Source organism: Homo sapiens, chromosome 1 (genome assembly GCF_000001405.40).
Source record: "Homo sapiens chromosome 1, GRCh38.p14 Primary Assembly".
Taxonomy (NCBI): Eukaryota; Metazoa; Chordata; class Mammalia; order Primates; family Hominidae; genus Homo; species Homo sapiens.
The window spans coordinates 111888560-111912795 of record NC_000001.11 but is presented as its reverse complement, the minus strand read 5'-3'; the positions used below and the strand labels follow the sequence as shown (position 1 = coordinate 111912795).

The 24236-nt window shown below is 48.5% G+C and overlaps 1 protein-coding gene and 1 long non-coding RNA gene across 9 annotated transcripts in view, besides 2 other annotated features; one reads left to right on the top strand and one right to left on the bottom strand.

The window, feature by feature from the left end:
• The window catches only part of KCND3 (potassium voltage-gated channel subfamily D member 3), a 219007-nt gene that overhangs the window by 76873 nt on the left and 117898 nt on the right, over positions 1 to 24236 (top strand). The window contains exon 3 of one of the 8 annotated variants that reach the window (XM_006710632.4): positions 16805 to 17252. The exons of the other annotated variants lie outside the window; for them this stretch is intronic. Within the exon in view, the coding sequence (XP_006710695.1) occupies positions 16805 to 16826 (22 nt within the window). The 3' untranslated portion in view covers positions 16827 to 17252. Of the gene's footprint in view, positions 1 to 16804; positions 17253 to 24236 lie in introns of those variants that run through there. 8 annotated transcript variants of the gene reach the window in all.
• KCND3-AS1 (KCND3 antisense RNA 1) lies at positions 1866 to 3139 on the bottom strand. The gene is made up of 4 exons (NR_046619.1): positions 3080 to 3139; positions 2903 to 2954; positions 2483 to 2673; positions 1866 to 2010 (listed from the first exon to the last, which is right to left on the bottom strand). It is a non-coding gene; the product is annotated as a KCND3 antisense RNA 1 (long non-coding RNA).
• Positions 14016 to 14235: a silencer, noted in NCBI's record as "fragment chr1:112441183-112441402 (GRCh37/hg19 assembly coordinates)". NCBI's record gives its function as "represses an EF-1alpha promoter that drives an FKBP-Casp9 reporter gene in an ReSE screen in K562 erythroleukemia cells {active_cell/tissue: K562}" and the evidence as "EXISTENCE:reporter gene assay evidence [ECO:0000049][PMID:32094911]".
• Positions 20943 to 21143: a silencer, noted in NCBI's record as "peak364 fragment used in MPRA reporter construct". NCBI's record gives its function as "represses an SCP1 promoter by STARR-seq MPRAs in K562 erythroleukemia cells {active_cell/tissue: K562}" and the evidence as "EXISTENCE:reporter gene assay evidence [ECO:0000049][PMID:32103011]".

Sequence of the window (24236 nt, the reverse complement as noted above, 5' to 3'; positions counted from 1 at the left end):
CCGTACTCTATATAAGTTTTTCTATTTTAAAAAAGGGGGTTTTGGGGTTTTTTTACTGTTTAAACTTTTTTAAAAACTAAGACACAAACACACACATTAGCCTAGGCCTGCATCAGGTTAGGATTACCAATATTACTGTTTTCCACCTCTACATCTTGTCCCACTGGAAGGTCATCTGGGGCAATAACATGCATGGAGCCATCCTCCTCCATGATAACAATGCCTTCTTCATGAATACCTTCTGAAGGACCTCCTTGAGGCTGTTTTACAGTTAACTTTCTTTTTTTTCTACATAGGAGGACACTGTAAAATAACAGTAACTGGTAAATACATAAACCAGTAACATGGTCACTTATTATCAAGTATTATGTGCTGTACATAATTATATGTGCTATGCTTTCATAGGACTGGCAGCACAGTGGGTTTGTTTATACCAGCATCACCACAAACATGTGAGTAATGCATTGCACTACAGTGTTAAGATGACTATGATGTCACTATGTCACTAGGTGATAGGAATTTTTCATCTCTTTTATAATCTTATGAGACCACCATCATATACGCCATCTGGCATTGGCCAAAACATTGCTATGCAGCACACAACTGTATCATGAAACCTGTTCATTCTCACCTGGGAACATGAACTCTTCCCAGTTCTGGAAATCATTTGGCTTAGTGCTTTGCGATGGTTCTTTCTCCAGCCTTATGGAGTTTCATTCCTTGTATGTGAAAATCAGTATTTTGGCAAAGCTCTTTAAGTGGATCCCCTTTCAGATAGCCAAAGCTGTTTCTGGCATTGTGCCTGCACACTCTAGCTGCCTCAGTCGTCTTGAACTCCAAGAATTCTGGGCTCTGTTTTGGCTCCCCTTCCCTGTGCTGCAGCCTGGAAATCCGATGCAGGCAGTAGGGTAGAGAAATTGTAGGGGTCTCTCATTTGATTCACCTCTCTCAAGGATCATAGTCCTGTATCGCCTTTTGTCCAATGTTTGAAAATATTTGTTTCATATATTTTGTATGACTTTCTAGTTGTTTAAGACAGAAAGGTAAATCCAGTTCTTTTTATCATGGCTGAAAGCAGAGGTGGCAATATGTACTTGCATTATCCTTATTTTAGAGGAAACTGGGGCACAGAGAGATTAAGCAGCGTGCCCAATATGACATTATTCTTGAGTGGTGTAGTCCAAATTTGAGCCCTGGTCAACAGTCTTCACTAAGTCTGTGTTGTTCACTGCTATATAACTATATACAGCAGCTGGTACATGGATTTGGTACTCAATAAACGTTGTTGAATGAATGAATGACCAATTTGAAGGTACTCAGCTTTTGTTATACTACACCCTTGTTGTGTTTAGGTTTATATAAGTGCACCTGAATGGTCCATTCTGATTAGCAAGTCCTAGGGTCTCCAGGCCCCAACAAATACTTTTTTACCTACTCCTCCGTGTACCTTGCAGACACCCCTGTGTGTAAGCAGCAGCTGCTGCCTTCTAATACCAAATCTGCTGTCTGGCTCCCACACTGAAACATATCATTTTAATCATGTACTTTCAAGCCAGGAAGTAAATTTGCATTACAAAAGTCAAATTCCTTTCCCTGGTGGTAGCCATGCAAAAGACTTGGCCACTTTTTCACTCTTGTCCAGGGAAGAAATTCTAGAAGTAGGAACCCATCTTAGTCAGAGTCAGGGCCACATAAAAAGAGCAAAAAGGTCATCTGGCATAGACCACCTCCCTGCTTCCTAATGTACATTCTTTGGGATGCTGATGGCAAGGGGGCCAGAATTATCTCTTAGCGGTCCCCTCATCCAGAACCATAGGTCTATTCACGATGATGCCAGAGCAATTGATTAAAAATTGTATGCCCATTTCCACATCTGCATAATTTTGCATATTTATTTAATGGACAAATAAACTCATTTGGATTCTCTCATTCCCTTTCTTTCTGTTCTGCTTTTGATGTATCATATAGGTCTGGCTCGGCCTGGGTAAATGACCAGTTCTGGTCTTCGTTCTACAGGAGAAATGGGTTCTTGTTAGGAGACCTCTAGAAGCTGTCCTGGTCCAATCTCCCAGAATTCACTCCTTTGTACCACAACCCAGGCAGTGTGGCCTGGGCAATGTCCTGGTTAGCTGAGGTCTGTGCCTGGCTAGGGTGTGCGGAGAAAGTGAAGGGGGTGGAGGTTGGTGTTGCTTCTCGGGAAGATTTCAGGTGGACAGGTTGTTGGCCGCCCTGCAGATGAGTATCTCCCCAGGGACTAAGCTGCTGTCACTGTGGGTAATTGGATTCCTGCTCCCCAGCAGAACAGGCACCAGTAAACTTTAGGATTAATTACTCCAGGTGACCTCAGCTGCCCACTCTGGCTGGTTGTCCTCCCCACTCTTGATCAGAAAGCCCCAGGGGCTCAATGTCGGGCACTGGATATTGGGACAGGAGTGTGAACTGGAGACTTCTTGATATGAGCCTTGAAAGACTGTTCACATACATTTGCAAAGGCACTTGAGAATGATGTTGTGCTTCACCTTTAAGGAAAGGCCATTCCGTGCCCTTGGGTGGGGTTATGGAGCTCTTCTGTGGATGGCAGTGCGAAGTCAACAGCCATTCCAAAGAGAATGCCAAGCTGTCAACCTTCTCTCCACTGGGTCCTCTGAGGGGGAGGCAATGGCTTGCTCCCACCTAGCGCGAGAAAGAGAAAGAGAGAGAGAGAGTTTGGGAGTTTCTTATGGCAAAAGGCTATAGCTGTGGCTCCCAGGCCACTGAAAATTTATTCCTGCTGCATTTGCTCGCCAAAACGTGAAACCTAAGGTAGGGAGATAGGGAGACACTGCAGTGGCATCATCCTTGGTGGCACTGAGTGTGTGTGATCAGTTGGAATAGTAATGGCTAATATCTCTGAAGTTCTTACCATGAGGTGGGCACGTGGGCATGCATTAGCTCATTCAATCCTCACAATGGCCCTACAAGGGATGTGGTATTATAATCCCCATCTCATAAAGGTGAAAAAAGGGCTGAGAGATGTTAATCGGAGAGAGACCACACAGCTGTTAACTGGCAGATCTTCAAAGCATAATGTGTTTGTTACCAGGCTTCACTGGTTCTTGTCCTTGGAGGTCTTGACAACAGGACTTTTCCTTTTCTGTTTCTGGAATGGGGGGAAGGAAGAAGCAATGACCATGGTGACACTAGGTTCTATAATCTTTGGCCCTTCTCGGCACCGAAAAGAACTAACTCCCATATATCCTTCATATGTATCACGTAACAATTACCACCTTGAAGGGCCTTTTGCTTTCTGTGTTACCGTTTGCTGTTTGGTTCTCCCATCTCATGCTGATCAATAACCTGTCACTCAGCAAAGAGACATTCACATGGACAAAATGTCCCTCTGACTCTCGATCCCTTGGCCGAGATTAGGCAGGGTACTATCATTGTGCCCCCTCAATAGGGTCCTCACACACTCATCTTTATTCCGCTCAGCTCTGGCAGTTGGCAGAGAGCAGTGTGTCATGATGAGACGTTCCTGGAAAGCCTGATTGGCCACTCATTTGTTTCCACTGCCACCTCCCCACCCCCCAGATGGCAATGGATATTGCCATGACAACATAATGGGATGCAATCACACCTATTGTGGGGCAGGAATGTTGACTGCATGAAAGAGTGTGTGTGGGGCCAGGGAGAAGATGAGAGAAACATAGACCCTCTTGTGCCCAGGAAGAAAGGAAGTTAATTCAGAATTGAGGAGTCTGCCTTCTGAATTTTAAGTTCCCACCTGATGCCTATAGAAACTGTTTATTACTTGCCAGCTCACATTATTCTCCTACTGTCACAGTCTTTAAAAAAAAAAAAAAAAGGCATGAGACCAGAGTTTTGGACTCATTTTGAAACAGAACTTAGCCACCGAGATGGGAAGTTCCTTGCTGCTTTAGTTTTATTTATTCCTTTCTTGTCTGCCCCCCTCCTTCTCCCTTTCACACACGTCTCCCCAATAGCAAGACCTCCACAAAGTTGGGGAAGGGAATGGGTGACCTTTCTATGATAGGAGAAGAGTTCTGATTTCTTCATTTTTGAGACAAAAAAAGTGTTGAATTAAGTCAAGGAAATACTCAAGAGAAGCAAATTCATCATCAAATTGGAACATCACTGGAACACGGGAGAGAAGTTGGGTGGAGGGAGGGGGTCTGGGCAGGAGGTGGGAAAGAGCATCTCTGAGCAGGGGTGACAGACTGGGGACTCCAGTCCAAAGACCTAACTCTGAATTTTAGTCCTGCTACAACCCTTAGTGTTGTTACGAATAAGAATTCTAAAGTCAGAGCCCTAGGTTTTGTTCCTGGCCCTGCCACCTACTAGCTTACAAGTGTAAACTTGGGCAAGTTACCTAACATTTATTTGCCTCAGTCTGGGCTGGAGGAGGACTAAATGAGTTTGTTCAGAACATTCCAAAAGGGTTTGCTGTTATTTTTACTGTGCAACTGAAGCAAGTTATTTTGCCTCTCTGAGCTTTGATTTACTCACTAGTAAATGGGAATTATATTTGCCTCACAAGCAAGCATTTGTGAGGATTAAATAAGCTAATGCATGGAAAAGTGCCCAGCTGCTTTCCAGACATATGATAGGTGCTAAATAAATGTCAGTCAAATCTTGATCTATCCAAGGGGAGAAAGGAGGAGAGTGACTCTTAAAACCCTCAGAGTGTTTTCAGGGAAACCAAGGGAAGAGGAACAACGCAAGTAAAGCTGTTATGTCGGCATTGGGAGCTGCAGGCTCCTCTGCAGTGGGGAATAGTCCTTAGTCCCTAGGAGGCACTCTACAAATATTAATTGAGTAAATGAATGAATGAATTTCAAGTAGAAAGACAATGAACTACTAAGACAGGCAGTGTGTTCTGGAGACACTGCAGAGAGGCAGAATCCAGTGAGTATTAGAATGGTTAAAAAGCTGGTAGAAGAGCTGGCATTTGAGCTTGTCTTCATCAGGGCTCTGCTTCCTAGCACAGAGTCTCCAGACAGCTTTCCTTTCCAGTCCACTGGTCTGTTCTAAGCCCTATTAGGTGCTATGCTCACAGCATGTGTGCACATAGGAGGAATACAAAGGACAAATATTAATCAGCTATCTATTGCTATATAACAAAATTCCCCCAAAACTTAGCTACCTAAAAATGACAAACATTCATCATCTTACAGTTTCTGTGGGTTAAGAATCCAGACATGGCTTAGTTGGGTGCCTCTGGCTTAAGAACCCTCACGTGATTGTAGTCAGGATGTCAGCCAGAGCTGCAGTCACTTAAAGGCTTGACTCACATGGTTGTGGGTTGGTCTCCATTCCTCACCATGTGGCCTACCTCTTGTCATGACAGCTGACAGCCGATACAAGGGCAGTTGATCTGAGAGACAGAGGCCACCAAGATGAACGCCATGTCATTTCTGCCATAATAGGTAGAAGCAAGTCAACAAGTCCAGCCCACACACAAGGGCAACACACAAGATGTGAATACCAATAGGATATGGTCTGAGAGTCTTCCCCTTTGTTATTTTGTACACACATAAAGAAAACATTGCCTTTTAACTCTTCTGCATCTGAAGACAACATCTGGGACTCCCTGAGCACACCCCAGCAACAAGTCTGTTCTCTCATGGAGATCAGTTCATCAATCTCTATTGCACACTTGTGCCCCATGAAGTGTGGCAGGTGCTGTGACAGCTGGCTGAACACGAGGGAACAGGAGCCCAGGATTGGGGGACAGTAGGGGGGAAATGAGGACAGAGATGTCATCCCACTGAGCAAATTCTGGACCAATCCTGAAGGACAGGAAATGTTAGCCAGAAGAGGGGAGTGGGTGTTTTAATCTGCAGGGACAGTGAATGCAAGACTTTAGAGGGAAGAAAGGTGTGGTGTGTGGGGATGAGAAAGGCTTCAGAGATGTTGGAGTATGGAAGTCAGGAGAGCATGGGAAGCTTGGGAAGCAGTGGGCAGCTGTTTCCCTAGTTTTCTTTGGATCCATCTTGATGGCTGTGGTCAGACTGGATTAAGGAGTGGACGCTTTGTGCACAGAGAGATCTGGAATAAGGAAAGAATGAATGATCAGCACAACCTGATCCCCCAACCCCAAAAGTTGGGATCGAGGGGATATCTCTGAGCCCAGGGTAGAGAGGAAAAGCAAGGTGAAAGAAGCAGTGTCCTGAGAGAGAACCAGGTCCAGCCTAGGGCAAAATTTAAAAATCAAGTTGCTTATTTGGCTTGATAAGACAGGAAAAGAGTTACATTTTGTTTTATTTAGAAAAATAAATAGTGATTCTAGGTGTCACATATCACAAGTAAATGACAACTGCCAAATAACTGATGCTGACACGAAATGGCAGGAGGTCAGAAAGGATGGAAGCTCCTCTTCTGGAATGGTCTGGACAGTGGGGAACTTTACATGGACAGTGGGTCCTTACAACATGGGCTGGATGTTGCCAGGTAAGACGCTGTGCTGTTTCCCAGGCAGAGGAGGTGGTGCAGATGTTCGGGCGTGTTCATAGTCACAAATGCTGACCCCAGAGACTGAGGGTCTCTGCACACCACATGCACTTTAAAGCATCAGGCTCTATGTGTCTATCTCTACCTTCTTTCACAGCCTGATAGCTCTTTCTCCAAACTAATGAGTCTAGGAAAGGAAAATTAGTATACTCTTCCCACCCTACACCACCCTTGAGAATGGGACTCCAGTGGCTACTCTGGGGCTCACAGCCCCCAGGACACAGAGCTTAGAAGTAGAGAGAGCTTTGAAATGAAAGTCAAAACATTGGGTTCTCCTAGTTCTCCACCCAGGTAGTTACGAGACTGCTGACAGCTCATCCAACTCACTCCCTCTCACAGAGATGCAGGGTCCTCATCTGTAAAATACAGGGGCCAATGCTGCAGGCACATGGTCCAGTGTTCCAGCTGCACATTAGAATCTCCCATGGAGCTTTCTAAGGTCAGGCGTCCCCAGGCCCCAGCATGAAGGATTCTACTTGAAAGGGCCTGGGTGGGGCCCAGGCATTACTGTTCCTTTAAACTGCCCAGGTGATTCTGATGCCCTGCTGGGGCTGAGACTCACTGGACCATGTGCTCACCAAGGCTCCTGAAGGAAGCATTGATGGTTTTATACGCGACTCCCAGAAGGGCTGCACGCCATAGTCACCTGAAGACTGATCAACACCAGCCTCCACCTCTGGAAGCAGAATCTCCAGGTCAGAGCGAGACCCACAAATCTGCATTTAAGATTGTCCCCCAGGGAGTTCTGTTGCTGCAGACGCATGGTCCAGTGTTTGGTAAACACCAGATGTCCTTACCCGGTACCAGAGCTGGAAAACTTGAGTGCATCCACTTTGCCCCTTACCAGGGATCCTTGTGAAAGCACCGAGCCTCTCTACTCTCATATTCAGTTAGAATTCTAGCAGTTCCTCACAGGGCTGTGGTGATCAGCTGAGTGCTGGTACAGCAATATTGTTTTTATTATTTCCCTGCTGCCTGGGTGTTCTGGGTGCGTGTCTCCCATCAGTGTCTCCTGTTCTGTTGCCTCCTTGGGTACAGCACACAGTGCTGTGTGGTCACAGATGCTTAATCAAAGGGTGTGCATGGAGATAATGAAGACCTGGGCCTGCTCTGGAGTGTGCCTCAGAAATCCACTCAAAGAACAAGACCACGCAGTTTCTAAATCAGTCATTTGGGCTGGTTTAGCATGAAAGGCTCTGATGAGCCGGGACTGATTCATCCATTCTCAGTGTTCTGGGGAGGTACGGGGAAGAGCTCTCTGAGAATGCCATGGACTTCCGGCGTGAATAACACAGGCTGTCTCCCCCTCCATCACTGACAGGGCTGCCCCCTCTGCAGGTGGCCTGGAGTGGCCAAGGCAGAGGGACGTGATCCCTGCTTGGCCAGCTGGGAGCCCCCGAGGGTGGTGGCCCAAGTGCATCCTGAGTCTACCTCCACAGAGTCAAGCCCCTGTCCCCTCCCCGCTCCACTGTGTGAGGTCGCCATGGTGACTTCCTGTCCCCAGTATGTCAGGGCTCTATCAGAGCCAATCGGCGGCAGGTGCAGATAAGGGTCTCTAAGCAGGGGCGGCTGTCACGCAGCTTGCCGTCGCCACCAAGCGTAGCATCGATTCTCGCCTGTGCCCGTGCCCACAGAGGATGAGGGAGGCTGGGGGAGGAGGGAGCCCTTTCTATATTTAGCTCCTGCACTGGGTACATCCCAGTGGACAGCTTTGAAAGAGGCTGACTTCCAGCTCAGCATGGGAAGGCTTAACATTCCTCAATTAGGCACACTCACGTGGGGCTGTGTTTTGCCCATAGAGAGGGTTAAAAGAACACAGGCAAAAAGTAAAGCAAGAGGGAAGAGAACAGCAAAGCTAAGCTGATTTATAGCAGCTAGGAAAGCTGCCCCTAAAGGGTTCCTCCAGCCACCCACCAACCCCCAACCCCACCCATAGGCCTTGGGGACAGTGGAGGGAGGTTGGCCCAGTGGGTGCTGGGAAGGGTGACAGGATCATCAAAATAGGGGGTCCTCTGGGTTGTTTAGCAGTCAGCTTAGTCCCTTAGACCAGAGGCAGAGCCCAGGGCAACTGAGCCTTTGCCCCGGGTCCTAGAGTAATGTCCCTTTGGCGGGACTCCACCATCTGGGAGGGGTGCAGTGGGAACTCTCAGGTTGCTGGAAATTGAGGTTAATGGACAAAAAAAAAAAAAACAAAAAACCAACCTCCAAAAAGACATGAAAGGGATTCAGCACACCAGGGGAGCCAGAAGGCCAACAAATTGTTTATTTGCCTGAATTCACCAGGTAATTGCTTGTCCTTCCGCTCACTTCTGCTACCCAAGCTGTGGCCCATCCAGTGGCCTGGACTGAGCTCCCTCAGTCTGGACATTGTAAGATAAGAAAGACCAGGAAAAAGGATCAAGGTTCTGGCCTCCCAAGGCTCCTAAGCTCCCAGAACACAGGCATGAAAGAGAGACCTAAGGACAGACATGGAGAGACTCATGCAAATCAGCATCCTATGAACTGGCTGAGAGGCAGGGAGGAGCAGCCCATGGGTCTGGGGGACTGTGACTGAAGGCAGATGACCACCTGACTCTGGCCTCAGGCCCCCTCCCAGCCAGTCAGTGTGGGGAGTATGCAGCCAGCCTGGCATTCTTTCAGAGATGTCACCAATGCCAGGTGAGGGCTTCAGTGCAAGATAATTCTCATTGTTCAAATTGTGCTCAAATATGGCAGTAGATGCAAGTCACCCTGCTGCTTAATGAGCAGATTCAGAGATCAGAAATCAATGGCTTCTCCCCTGAAAGCTTCACTCTGCAGCATCACTCTGAGCCTGAGCAGAGAAGAGGCTTTCGGAGGCTTGGCCACAGTTGGCCCAGGACATACTGAGTGGGTGCTGTCTCCAGGTGGCTAGGCTGGATGCTAGCAGGGACATTTGGAAAATCTTCCCTCCCCCACTACATCCGTGTTGAATGTCACATGACCTTCCTCCGCCTCCCACCTGCTCAGCCTTTCCTGCTCTAACTTTAGCCTGGAGATAGTAAGTAGGCACCAAGGAAGGCTGGAGAAAGCAGCGAGGTACTGAAGCTGGTACTTTCCTTCTGCTCCCTCTGGTCTGATGGTCACCAGACTCTCAGGGAACAGTGAGCCAGGCTGAGTATATGTCCCAGACTGGAGTCAGAGAGAAAGAGTTCCACCTCTTTCTCTGGACAGCCCGGTTCTGCCCCAAAGCATATTGGATGAAAGAATCCCTTCTGGCCTTCAGAATCTGTTTTTGAGCTCCTACAGCCTATATGTATGTGTGTAAACACTTACACATGTATGTTGACTGTATATCCACATGTCTGTATATATGTAAATACGGATCTTTAAAAATATATATTGAGCACCTACTATGAGCAAAGCACTCTGCTACTCTCACAAGTGTTCAGAATGGGCAGGGGGATATATGAAGGTACTAATCATATTATTTACTGAGTACCTAGTATATTCCAGGCACAGTATTAGGTACTTGACACCAAGTGCATCACATTTATGCCTCACAACAACCTCAAGGTAGATATTGCTATCCCTATTTTGCAGATGAGAAAACAAAGGATCAGAAAGGTTAAATTTGCCCAGGGGCACAACACTGGAAAGTAGCTGGCAAAGTTCAGATTGGAATCCAAAGGATCTCCTGGCCCCAGACCTGTGGACCACTAGTTTTTAACACTAACGAGCAGTGGGCACATGAGACAGGTGCATTCACAAACCCCTCCCATTACAAAGAAGTGAGGAAGCAGGGCTAGTAGAATCAAGTTGGCTCCACATAGGAGTGTGGTGTTAGACACTGTGTCCTACCCAGGACCTGTGAGCATGGTGTTGGGGGCCTCTCTTAGCCACACTCCCTGTGTCCCTCATCCGCACTCACCTTTGTCCCAGGGTGCCTTTCCTTCCACCAAATTGCTGTCTGTTGCTCCAGGCTCATTCAGTTGCCACTGGATGTAGGTGTGTTGTTAAGTCACGTCCTCCTCACCTGCTCCGTTACCCCTTTAATCCCTGCACACTGGATTCTCTGACTTGCAGTACAAAGTGTCCCACGTATTAGCTCCCCAGAGGCCTGGACCCACTTTGGGATTGGCTGCCCCCTCACTGGTCATTTGAGCCCCGTTCCTATCTCGGACCCACTGGCCAGGTGCTGGGAGCAAGGATACACCTCTCTTCATTCACCTGCTGCACCTGAGTGAGGCCGGAGGGGGCTCTGGGAGATTCTGAATCCTCAAGCATTTTTGTGCTTTAGTAAGTAAACCGCTGAGCACGTGGGATCTTACTCAGCTTTGTTGCTGCCTAATGGAGTAGTTTGGGGTCCTCAACTTCTCCTGGCCTCAGTCTCAGCTGCAAAATGAGGCTCCACTTTTCATTCAGATGATTTCTAAGTTCCCCTCTGGTCAGAGCTGATGCTCCAAGATTCCTGGGAACCTTGGGGTGGGGACCGTGGTGAGAGATTATGCTTTCAGGGTGGGGTCAAAATGAGGTGCCTGTGGACAACCTGGTTCTCCAGCCTCCAGGCAGGAGAGGTCAGGCTGGGGCTTTGGGACCCACATCTCTCAGAAAAAAAGAAAGCATTCTTCCTAAGCCTCTTCATCAAAAGTACTGGGAATGAGCCTCCCCACCGCCTACAGAGGTGGCGCTCTGGGCTCTGCTTCAGCATTTATTGTCCTGACCCATTTTCATGAGGTCTCATTCTTTAGTCTGGGAGCAGCTCATTGAATTCATCATATATCTCCGGGTCCCCAGTGCCTAGCTAGGGGCCTGCCACTGCACAGCCAGTGCACTATGAATATTTGTTGAAGAAACAAATGAAAGTTTTGCCCCGGCCCTTAGAATGCAGGCTGAGTCTCTGGCTCCAGCTGGAAAGCTTTTATGCTAATAAGTGTTGATCTTGCCTCTCCAAGTAGAAAGTAACTCCTTTAGGAAGGTAGCCTGACTTAATTCTTTTGTAGCTTGCATGGGATCTCACCAATTCTGGGCACATAAGATGGGCTCAATATAAACTTGTTAAATTAAATGGAATGCAATATAACACATCACCCTTTGGACTCCAGGGGCAGCTGCTAGATTCTTTGGGGCATGTCACTATTTATCCTTAATTACCTGCTTTTATATTAGCTCTGGGAACCAATCTGACTGAATGATAAGATTTTGCTCCTGGATAATAGCTAACAATAATAACTACCTTATACTCAATTCATAATATGTGACATTGCTGTGATAAATTCTTTACTTCCCTCAACTCAATCCCAATAACAATCCTTCTGTATTCATTTATTCATTCAACCAGTTTTTGTTTGTTTGTTTCTTTTGTTTTTTTAGATGGAGTTTCACTCTTGTCGCCCAGGCTGGAGTGCAATGGTGTGATCTCGGCTCACTGCAACCTCTGCCTCCCAGGTTCAAGCGATTCTCCTGCCTCAGCCTCCCAAGTAGCTGGGATTACAGGCGCATGCCACCACACCCGGCTAATTTTTGTATTTTTAGTAGAGACGGGGTTTCACCATGTTGGCCAGGCTGGTCTCGAATTCCTGACCTCAGGTGATCCGCCCACCTCGGCCTCCCAAAATGCTGGATTACAGGCATGAGCCACTGCGCCTGGCCTCAATCAGTATTTTTTTTTTTTAGCATTCACTGTTTACCAGGCACTGGGCATATGGCAGTATACAAGATAAACACAGTTTTATTTTCCTCATTTTACAGATGAGGAAATAGACTCCAGGAATCTCAGTAATTTGCGGTAGTCACAAAGCTCCTAAGTGGCAACACTGCATTCATCTAATTGTTTTCACAGTGTCAGGGAAGTGCTGCCCCTCTGCAAACTCAAGTTAGTGGCTAGTTTGCAGGGTGGAGGCTGCTGTTTGGTTCCTTTAGAATCTAAACCAGTGCCTTATGCAAATGAATGTTTGGCAGGTAAGCACACTTGTCACTAGTACCTGAAATGCTGTCTCCTGGAGGTTTGGAAGGCAGGTCCGGGGAAATGCTTCTGCACCGTAGTCTCAGATACAGCATCACTGGGGCTTTCCAGAGGGAGGTAAAGAGTCTTGAAGTGGGAAGGGTCAGAGGGAGAGAAGGGTCTCTCCCTCCGGGCAGGGGTCTCTTGGGAGAGATGTGGAGAAGGCAAGGGTGAGGTGCCCAGCAGCCCTGCATATCCATATGTCTGTATATATGTAATGGCTAAGATAGTCCCCCAGCACCATGCTTACAGGTCCCAGGCAAGACACAGTATCTAACACTGCACTCCTGTGTGGCGCCAAGTTGATTCTACTACCCCTGCCTCCTCACTGCTTTGTAATGCCCCGATCAGTGCCCGTGATCATTCCCTGCTCTGGGTCATGTTGCAGAGAGTCCTGGGAGGCATTGCATGGATGTGTGGTTCCCCCGAGGACTCATAAGGAGCATGTACAGGAATCTGCTTGTGAGTATCACACTCCTCCTTCTTAGTTGCTGGGGCTCACCCACACCTAAGTGCCACACACACATATACCCAGGTGGCCAAACAGCTCACCTAGGAGTGTCCAGCTCTGTTCCCTGCCTTCCTTTGCAACTGCCCTATGCTGACACACACCCACACACTCACATGTGTACCTGAGTGCTCACACACAATCTATAAGGAAATTAAAAACAACTTCCCAGGTCTGACTTTTAAGGGGTGGTCTAGAGTACAACTAATGAAATCCAGTCTCCTCACTGTGGCAGACCCCCTGTAACTGGTGGAGGGAGTGCGAAATCACAGAAATTGCCATTGGGTTTTGATCTTAGGAGGCCTTTCTGCAGACATATCACTTCCATCACCTACAGCAAGAGGCAGAAGGCCAGGGCCACCTTGCCTCCCTGACCCCGGTCCCTGCCTCAGGCCAAGAAGCAGAACATAAAGCCATTTTCAAATTGATGCTCATTGAGCAGAAGGAAAAGAAGCAAAGATGGAAGGGAGAGGGACTGGTGTTTGCAGAGGGCTTCCCATGAACTAGACCTGGGTGCTTTACCTTCATTGTTTTATTGAATCCTCATGAGAAGCCCCTGGGGGATCAGTGTTACTATCAGGGCTCTGTGGAGTCACCTGCTGGAACAGTGATAAGCTAGGTATTGAGCCAGAAAGCAGGGAGGAGACAGAACAGAGGTTTGATAGTGACCCTTGTAGTCACTGTGGGGCTGCACTGTGAGCAGATCTTCAGCAAGAAGCACTGTGGAGTAAGGATGGAACCCAGATCTCTAGCTTTGGGAGATTTAGAGAGTACTCCTGCCACAGCTAGTAGGAGGATGGGATAGGATTATGCCACCCTGTTCCTGGCACTAGTGGGACAGCCACTATAATTGATGATGGGAAAAAGAACAGTAAGATGGTGCTGAGCCCCAGCAATGCTTGGTACCTAAATAGGAGAGGAAATGGGGTTGCCATGTTAGGCTGGTCTGTGGTCCTGCAGCTGAGGGCCAGAGGCAGCTGTGGTCATAGGACTGTGTCCTCTACCCCCAACTCTGCCCCCTGCCCTCTTAGCCTCAGTGGAAGCTGTCTGGACCCCACACTCTGTGGTCTCTGCTGTTTCCCCTCTTTCTGTCTCCGTTTCGCCCTTTCCCTTGGACTCAGCTTCAGGAGGGCAAGGCCTGTGCTTTGTGTACAGTTGAAGCACACACTCAGTAAATAACAGTAAACACATGACTTTACTGCCCATGGGGCTGCTATATTTGAGTTTTCATTTCACTTATTGCTTACTGAAAGTCTCCTTGTGCCAGACCCCAGGGACCAAGGGGCAAATGAACAGTTCTGGCCCTCAGGAAGCTTGTAGTCTCCCCAGGGAGATGGCCACGTGCACCACCAATTGTAACCTGGTGCAGTCAATGTCAAGCGATGATCAGAATGATAAGGTCTTTTTGAGTACTGCACATGTGCCAGGCATGTGGAGGTACAGGTGCTGAGCCACGGGGGAGCAGATGGAGGAGGTAACCCTGGTGGGCAGATTCAAGAAGACCTTCTCAAAGCAGGTGATGGGCATTTTAAAATTCACTTTTGTTTCCCACCCAGAGGTAGAATCATGGTAAAGAAAGGCTAAGGTAAGAGCTAAAATGAATAGAGTCCTTCACTCTCTAAGCATTCCAGGTGGATTGATCTATTTAATCCTCAACCCCCTGAAGAATACTGTTGTGGTCCCTGTTTTACAGTTGAGGAAACCAAGCCAGAGGACAAGGACCATGCGTAGGGTCATAGGTAAAATGTTAAGCTGAGATGCAAACCTAAGCAGTCCAGTTTTGTGGGGTGCTCTTGTAGGAATTGCCCAAGGACCAATGAGGCTGGAGAGGGAGAGAGACCGTGTTTATGGAAGGAAGGTGGTACTTGGAGGTAAGAAACCGCTGGTGTCCCAAAGTATTTGGTGGCCTAAGGCATATTTGGAAATAAAAAGTATTTTCTCCTTTATGCCTGGCCTGTGTTTGTCTATTCTTCAGGTTCTAAATAAAATACGAAGTGAATTTCTGTCTTAAGAGCTGATTGTGGGGACTCACTCCTGCCCTCTCCCCATGTGACATATGTACACATAAACCTGCAAGCCAGCTTCTGCACCTGCACCCAAGCTCCCCTCAGCCACACGTGGATGATCTAGCTTCTTTCTGTACCCCAGACTTACAAGTGAGCCCATGTGCCTTCAACGCCTCAGTCCACTGCCCTCAGACCTGCATGCCCTGCCCTACCTGGCCCCACATAGGCAGAAACCCACATACCCAGCTAGACACACTCCGCTCCTGTGCCCCACGCACGTTCACAGGGCGCCACACACCGAGCTGTCCAGCACGCACAGATGAGGCCTGTGTGCCTGACTGCCCCACACAGGCAAAAGCACCTCCGGAGGCGGCAAGGAGGAAGCCACAAAACCAGATGCAATGTCTGAAAGGACATCTGGGACTGAGGTCCAGGTGCCCTGCCAAGGGCTGAGTCCATATTTTTCTGGGGTGAGCAGATTGCAAAGAGGGCAAACCATAGAGGGTGGGGAAGATTCCCTTCTCTAGGCTGTGAGGACCACCAGGGTGCAGAGAGGCAGGCCGCCCTGGGACTGTTGGACTGTCACAGCAACCCCAGGAAATCCTACAAACACTAAACGTGGATGAGGACTTAGGAAAGTCCTGCAGTTCATGGGCAGGGCCAGCGCTGTAGGAAGGCGGGGGCTGGTGTCCGTTCCCCAACTTGCCCCATGTGGGCTGAGCACCTGCTCCTCGCCTGCCCCGTGTGCTAAGCCCTGGGAATACAACAGCGGACAAGACAGACCCCAGCCTGCCTTAAGGAGTTTGCAGTTTGCAGGAGTGGGGCAGTGATGGTGGTCATAATAATAGTGACTAAGCCCCTCCTATGTGCCAGAACTCTATCACTTACACATGTGGTATGTGTGTAACCCCTGTAACAACCCATAGGGAAGGTACTTATGATGGTGGAACTGAGGCACAGAGAGGTTAAGTAACTTGTCTAAGGTTCCACAGCTCATAAGTGAAGGAGCCAGTATTTGGACCCAGGCAGTCTGAGAGCCCATGCTGTTAACTAGGACTTGATGATGATGCCCATAAAGGGGATGCCACCTTCCAGCTTGGCCTGACACTGTAGAGTTTGTACAGCATTTTAAACACACCTCCTTTTGCTCATTTGAACCTATTGCTGTCCGCTGAGTGGATCTCAACATTCCCATTTTACAGATGAGGAAGATACAGGTAGACATTTCAAATAATGAGCTCTCTACTAGACAGCTGACAGGTAGCCTCCAGCCCAGTTCTGTTGGGTCCAGATGGCACTGCGTAGTTTCTGTCAGCACCATGTCCACTTGCCTCCTCTCTCTGGGCTTCAGGGTCCCCACTTGTAAAACAGGAAGAACCACACCTGCTCCCTCCTGATTTCCAGAGAACATGTCATGTGGTATTAATCAAATGGTATTAAAAATAAAATAGTAATGACAGCGAGCTGAGATCTTCTGGGTGAAGAGCCAGGAATAGGGGGTCAGTCCCCTCCTGTGTTCTCACCACCTCCAACTCAGAAGAGAAGCAGGTGCTCAACCACCACGTCATGCCGTCCGTGGACAGACTCAAAGCCAATAGGCCCGGGTTCCGGGTTTGCTCTGACGCGTATTCACCGTGTTCTCGGGGAGGTCCCTCCGCTTCCGAGCCTCTGCTTCCCTCAGCACCGTGGGGCTGGTCACACCTGCCTCCCGGGGCTGTTATGAAGAGAAGTGAATGAACGCGCGTGGAGCATGTTGCCCGCAGTCAGCTCTCGCATCCTGGCAGTCATTTAAAATTATCCTCATTATTTTTATCTTAGTCCTGGAAGTGCTCATGCCTGAGGGGATGGCAGAACTGCTTCCTGAACTTCTTCCTCCTGGCAGTGAATCAAGCTTTCTTCGAAGAAATCCTTTTCCACACTTGATGTGGCCCCAGATACAGGACTCGTCATACTCTTACCCCCAGGAGTTTGCAGGAGGCTAGGACACACCAGCCGGCTGGCCCCGGGAAGAGCTGGCAGCGTTTCCGCTGAAGCTTCCTGCCCACCCACTGGGCCCGAGGCCTGTTCCGCATCCAGCCCCCTGGCCCCCTCCACTCCCCACGGCAGGCGCGCTAGCGCATTCTGAGCATATGGAGAAGGGGTTACTCCGCAGCCCCCTGACTCATCCTGCTGCTGAATAAGCCTGGAAGGTGACTGATCTAGGGAACATGCCAGTTTGCTATCAGGGCCTGATCACTGGGATGCAGCTCCCCGGGGACGAGAAAATGAAAAATATGACTAAACTGTCCTCCCACACGGGCTGTCATTAAAACAGTGCTCGCTATGTCACAGATATTTTTGCTTCGTCTCCAAATAATTTGTTCTTCCAACTTTAAAAAATTTCTTTAATTTAATTTTTATTACCCCTTCCCCCACCTCCCCATTTGGTGTGCACTTTGCTCTGTGAGGCCAAGGCCATGTAAAATGCATGACGTTTTTGCCCAAAGGCCTCCCCCTGACCCTCAGATTTGGTAAAAGCAGAGAAACCCCCAGGCAGTCTGGTCTACAGCCTGGTCCCACAGCTGAGGTAGAATCATCCTTCCCTCCTCCCTCTCCGTCCTCACCCTGCCTCCTCCCCCTCCTTGCTCTTGGTCTCCCTCCTTCCCCCTCCTTCCTTCTCCTTCTCCCTCCCCACTTCTCCCTCCTCCCCTTCCTCTTCCTTCCCCTCCTTTTCCTCTCACCCTGTCCTCCCTTCTTTTTCCTCCCTCATGCTTCCTCTCCCTCTCCACATCTCCCTCTCATCCCTCATTTCCTCCTCCCCTTCCCTCCCCCTGAGTCCTCTCCCTTCCCTCTTTTCCCCTCTTTCTTCTCCTGCCTCTACTTTCTTCCTCCTCTTCTCCCTTCTCCTCTTTCCTCTTCCTGCTCTTCCTCTTCCTCCTCCTCCTCCTTCTGCTGCTGCTCTGACTTCAGCTGAGGAGGAATCTCTTTGGGTATGTGTTTAGGAGAAAGAAATCTGTAGAAAGGTCAGGCAGGCACAGGGCAGAGGCCTTCCTTGCAGGCACAGTCCCCGTAGCCAGAGCATCTCCCCTTCTCTACACACTTGGGACCAGATGGCTGCTGGCCTGATGACCCTGCCATTTGCAGCCTCCGCCAGTCCCAGCTAGGAGCTTCCCACATTGCCGTGGTGCAGCGCAGCCTGCTAGTCATCACGCCTGCCATCCTTCATTCCCGGGAAGAGAGTCAAACTATTTACTAAGTGCCAAGTACTGTGCTAGGATCTGGGGTAGAGCCAAAAATAAGACCAAGTTCCTGCTCTTACATGCTGGTGATAGTGGGGGGATAAAAAACACATAAATGTACAGATGACTAAGATGACTTCAAGCAAAGTGCTATGAAGGAGATGGAACAGGGTAGGGTGGGAGAGAAAGACAACTTTAAACCAGGGTTATGAGGAAAGGCCTCTCTGAGAAAGTGACTGAGGGCCTGATGCTAAGAAGTTAGCTCCACAAAGGCCCAGGAAAAGAGCATTCTAGGGGGAGAGGAACATAGAACACAGCCAAAGCCTCATAATGGGAATGAGCCTGGCGTGTTTGAGAGAAGGAGGGAGGCCGTGAGGCTGGAGCAGAGTGAACAAGTGGGGTAAGGCAGAGGCACGTGGAGTTGAGAAGAGCCCTCAACCACACCACAGCGCCCTCGTTCATAGGCTGGGGAAGATTTAGCCTGTATTTTAGGTGCAGTGGAAAGCCACTAGAGACTGTGAGGCAGTTGGCTGATTTGATCTTGTTCATGCTTTAAAAGCTCACTCTGGCTGATGTGTGGAGGTTGGATTGTGGGGAGCAGAGGGGACCGGAGAGCCCCAGGAGAAGGCCAAGTGCAGTGTCTGAGTGATGGGGGCATGGACCTTCTTCTCTTCTGTCCTCCCCTCTCCCTCAAACTGCAGGGAACTCAAACCTACTGTGTCCAGATGAAGCTCTTGGTTCTTATCTCCCCAAATCTGACCTTATCCCCATGTCAGTGTCAATACCATTAACCCAGTTGCCTGGGTCAAAGACCAATGCTGGCTTTACCTTCAAGGCCATCTCAAACCTGACCCCTTCTCACCATGACTCCTGTCACTTGGGCCCTGGGTTGTTCACCTCTGATAGGTCAAGGAGTCACTTGGCTTCCTAAGAGAAGGGCTGGCCCCCAGGGAGCACCTAACAGAGGGTGAAGCACCGCATAGGGGCAGGTAAGTAGTGTTGAGTTTTCTAGCCTTGCCTGTACTATAGAAATGACCTCATTTACATGTGAATTCCTTAAAGAGTTAAGGAATTTTCAAAAATATTCCCCACCTTCTCCAGCCACACTTCCACAGCCTGTGCCTGGCACTCAATAGTCCCGAGTCTCCTACCAAGGCCATCATTCTTCCAAGACTTCCTCCATATTCTGCACTCCCTGAACACCTCCTGAGGGCCTTCTCCCTGCCCCCACCCTGGTTCCCAGCAAACTCCTAGTCATCCTTCAGGCCCCAGTTCAAATGTCACCTTCTCCGTCAAGTGTCCCAGACCCCACATTCCCTCTCTCAGCTGTCTGCCCAGCCAGAGTTCACAACTTCCCACTTAGTACTCTGTACTTGCCGGGCTGCCATAGCCTTCATCAGCTACATCACTGTTTATTGTAATTGTTTGTTTACCTGTCTATCTCCCACTTCTGGACTGTGAGCCTTCAGAGGGTGGGGATGGTCTTCTGTCACCATCTTCCTGTCCTCAGCCAGCTCAGCCCAGAGCATCTGCTCAATAAGCATCTGTTGACACAGAGCCTTCTCTTCAGGTCATCGCTTAAGCAAAAAGCCAAGTTGTCTAATCACGTTTGCAAGTCCAAGGTGAGCAAAACTCACCTTCTCCAGGAAGTCTTCTTATATCTTAGAGGATACTTTGGTGTGTCGTCTCAGCCCTTGGGCTCCCTGTTTGAATTCTATACCTCCCGGGAATGTGGTTTTCAGAAAGTCTTCCTTCCTACTTCTCTTTTGTTCATTAATTGGTTCAGTAGATAGTTATCATTCAGTCTCAGCTTAAATGTCAGAGACATGAATTAATTAATCAATCAATTAACTGTCAGAGACCTTTTCTGATTACCAGTCTAGGGGAGCCCCACTCCATCCGATCACATTACCCATTGTTATTCTCTGCGTGGCACTATATTATCTTTCATGTATGTGTTCATTTATTTATTGCATAACCTTCCCTCATAGAATGTACTATAGTTCCAGGAAACATAGCCTGGTCTGTCTTGTTCACAGCTGCCTCCCTTTTGCCCAGAAAACAGCCTGGCACTCAAGTTGTAGGCACTCAAGAATTATTTTGTAAGCAAATGACTCTTGAGCTCTTATTACACATGAATTGTTGCTATGGGCACCAGAGCCCCTTCCCTGAGAAGGAAAACCACTTGCCTGAGGTCTCAAGACTCACACATTGGAGAGCTGGCTCACTGCATTGTCCAGGGCAATGCCCAATAAATGATACAACATGAGATGTTAGGGTTGGAGCAGAGAGAGAGAAAGAGAGAGTCTAGGGGGCTGAGTGACCAGGCAGGCTTCATGCACAAGCACTGAGGCGAGCTTTGGATGCTCCCTTTCCCCGCCAGGCCTCAGCCTGTGTTGCTCTGCCACCTGAAACACCTGCCTCATCCGTCGTCGTCAGTTCTGGTTTTGTTCTTCAGGTTCCAGCTGCCCCTTCTCTAGGAAGCTTTTCCCTGTCCCTTATTCCCAAGTCTGCAAGACCCTGAACAGCCCTCTCTTGTAAGACTGACGACACAGTTTTGGAATTGCTTTTTATTTTTTGCTCTCCTCCAACACACACACACACACACACAGACACACACACAGACACACACGCACACCACACACACACAGGCTAAATAAGGGCAAGGATGGTGTCTGATTCATCTTCAAGTCTCCAGGATCTAATACAGTTCCTGGAACATAGTAGATGGTCAGAAAGTATGTGTAGAATAAATGAAGAAGAGGACTTTTCTTCCCCGAATGGCAAGAAACTAAGTACAGATACCAATTTATTCATTTACTCAGCAAATATTTATTGAGATCTGGAGATACAACTGTCAACAAGGCAGACAAAAATTTCTGCATTTAGTGAATCTACATACTAGTTGTGGGACAGACAACACAAGACATGATTAAGTTTGCTGGTAACCCATGTGATGGAGAACGGTAAAGCAGAGAGGGAGATGGGGACAGCTGAGAACAGTGTTTAACAAGTTAATAAGTGCCGGTCTCCCTGAGAGGGTGTTGGTGGGGATGCCCTTCGGGAGCTGAGGGAGGGCACATACCGTCTGTGCATTTGTGCCGTAGGTACTGTGCCTCTTGCATGACACCACTCCAGCAAGCCTTCTGCATCCTTGAAGTCTCCTCTCTGATGGACCATTCAGGCTGGCACTCAGACATTCTGTTATTTATTCCTTCTTAAAATACCTTCCTTTTTACCCTACTTCCCTGCAAACAGACTCTCACCATTTTTTTCCTTCTCTTTGCAGCAAAACCACCTCAAAAGAATGGTCTGATTCATCTCTTGCCCATTCTCTTCCTTTTTTCTTTGTAACCTGATAAGCATTTATTGTGCTGCCCATGTGCCCAACCCTTTACAAACACCAAGTGATTTTATCCTTCTAACAACCCTATGAAGTAGGTGGCCTCAGATTTAGGAAATAGGGCAAAGAAAGGTTAAACAACTTGCCTACAGTCACATGGCTAGTAAGTGGAGAGCTGGTTTCTGACCCCTGGCAGGCTGGTGCCCAGACCTGTGGTCTCAGTCACTCTGCCATGCAGCCTGTCAGTGCCACGCCCCCTCAAACCCACCCCACTCAGGGTTTCACCTGCACCACTCTCCCGAAACACTTCTTGTCCAGATCACTGTGACCTCCATGTTGCTAAATCCCATGGTCACTTCTCACCTCTCATCTTACCTGATGACTCTCAGGTAAGAGATGGTTGAGCCAGTTGGTTATTCTCTTCTCCATAAAACCACACTCTGATTTTTTCTCCAGGCTTCTAGGACACCACACTCTCCAGGTCTACCCACCTTGCTGTTCACTATTTATCAGTCTCTTGCTGGCTTCTCTTCTCCTTCCTGGGCAGGAGAGCCCAGGATTGGGTTCTTGGTCCTTTTCTCCATTTACACTCACTCCCTGGCCATCTCTTCTAGTCTCCCACCTTTAAAAACTCTGCATGCTAAGACTCTGGTATTTATATTTCCATTGCTGATCTCTTTCCCCAACTGCAGAGTTACATACCCATCTGAGTTCTTTGCCTCTACACTTAGGTGTCTAATAAACATCTCAAACTCAATGGGCTCAATACTGAACTTCTGATTTTCTCTTGCCAGCTGCCTGGCCCAAAGCTGCTCCACCCATATATCTTCATTGATGGAGAACTCCATCCTTCCAGGTGCTGAAGCCAAAAGCCTTAGAGTCAGCTTTGACGCCTCTGTTAATCTCACGCCCATATCCAACCTCTCAAGACATCTTGCTGGCTCTTCCCTGAGAGCACACTCAGAAACTGACCCCTCTCACCATCTCCATCTTCAGCTTACTGTAATGTCCTCCTAGCTGGTCTTCACTTGCATTCCTGACTCCTTATCTACTCATCCCAACTGCCAACATGACCCTTTGCAAACTTAAGGCAGAGCATATTTTCCTCTGCCCAGGACCCTACAATTCCTCCCCATTTCATCCAGAGGCAAAGCTGAATTCTTCAGTGTCCTTCAGAGTCTTCCATGTTCTGGTTTCCATGGCCACTCTGGAGTCATTGAATGCGACTCTTGCTCCTAGTCCCTCCCGACCAGCCATTCTGTTTGTTGTCCCTCAATGTTCCAGGAATGCTTCCACCTCAGGACATTTTCATTGGCTGTTCCCACTGCCTGAAATTCACACATCTCAGAGATCCTCAGGGCTGTCCCCCTCAGATGTCACCCCTGAAGGAAGCTACCCTGACTTCCCCAGGCCTCCTGCTCCCCGTCTTCTGCTCTGTTGTTTTCCTCCATAAGATTTCTTACCTTCCAGCTTATTGTTCCCCTACCCCATTTTGTCTGTGTTATCTTATGTAAAATGCAGATTCCCTACATTTTTCCTCTGCTCCTTTTGTTTATGTGAAAACTGTGTGCTTCTCAATATCCTGCCCCTTCACCTTTACATTTGGAGCCCTCAAAATCACAGAGACAGGCATAGACCTGTCTCCTGGGTGCATCCTTAACTTTGGCAAAAAATTCTCCTAAAATGATTTAAAAAAAAAAGATTTCTTACCTTCCCACAGATGGTGTGGTTTACCTATTTAAGTGAATCTTCCTTTACTAGAACCTTCCTTTACTAGAAGCTCAACTTCCTGATCTCTACAGGAACAGATATCTTTGTTTTGTGCAGTGATATTCTAAGCATCTAGGACAGAGCCAGTGCTCCATAAATGCCTATTGAGTGATTATCTGGGTGAAGGCATTGCAGGCAGTGGGACTAGCAGGTGCCAGGGTCCCATCTTGGTCTCCTCCCTGCTTTAGCAGGGCCAGGGGCCGTCACTCAGTCCATGGGGCAGACCCATTGGCAAGGCTGCGGTGTCTGTCCCCTGAATTTTTGGGGCAGGCCTCTGTTCACTTATGGTGGTTATGTCTGTGGTTTGTGGCTGGTCCGGGGAAGAGCAGCAGGTTGCTGAAAACAATACAGTGAACCCCAGCCCTGCAGCCACATCGCCTCCATTTACCCAAACGAACTCATTACATCAAGATAAACACAAAACCCTGATCTAAAGAAGTCCCAGTGATGAACCAACCCCTGCCCCTCCTCCTGCTGCCCTCGCACACACAACCAGAGAAAAGTCCCTCATTAGCAAAGCTGCTCCCGGTGAGTGCCAAGAGGATAAGCTCCAAAGGGACTTCAGACAGCAGGAGGGGCTTCCTTCCTCTCCTCTGCAGCCTCTCCTCACCAAAGCCCAGGGTTCTTTCTTCTCTTCCCTTTCTTAATGCATGCTTGCCTCTCTGTGCTGCTCCTTCTCCATTGTTCCTTCTCTCGGTAGCCCCTGCAGAGGTTTCTGTCTGTCTTTGGGTTTCTCTGTACCTGGGTCTTCATGTCACTGTCTTTGTTTTCTTTATTTCTTTTTTTTTTTTTTTTTTGAGATGGAGTGTCACTCTGTCATCCAGGCTGGAGTGCAGTGGTGTGATCTTGGCTCACTGCAACCTCTGCCTCCTGGGTTCAAGCGATTCTCCTTCCTCAGCCTCCCGAGTAGCTGGGATTA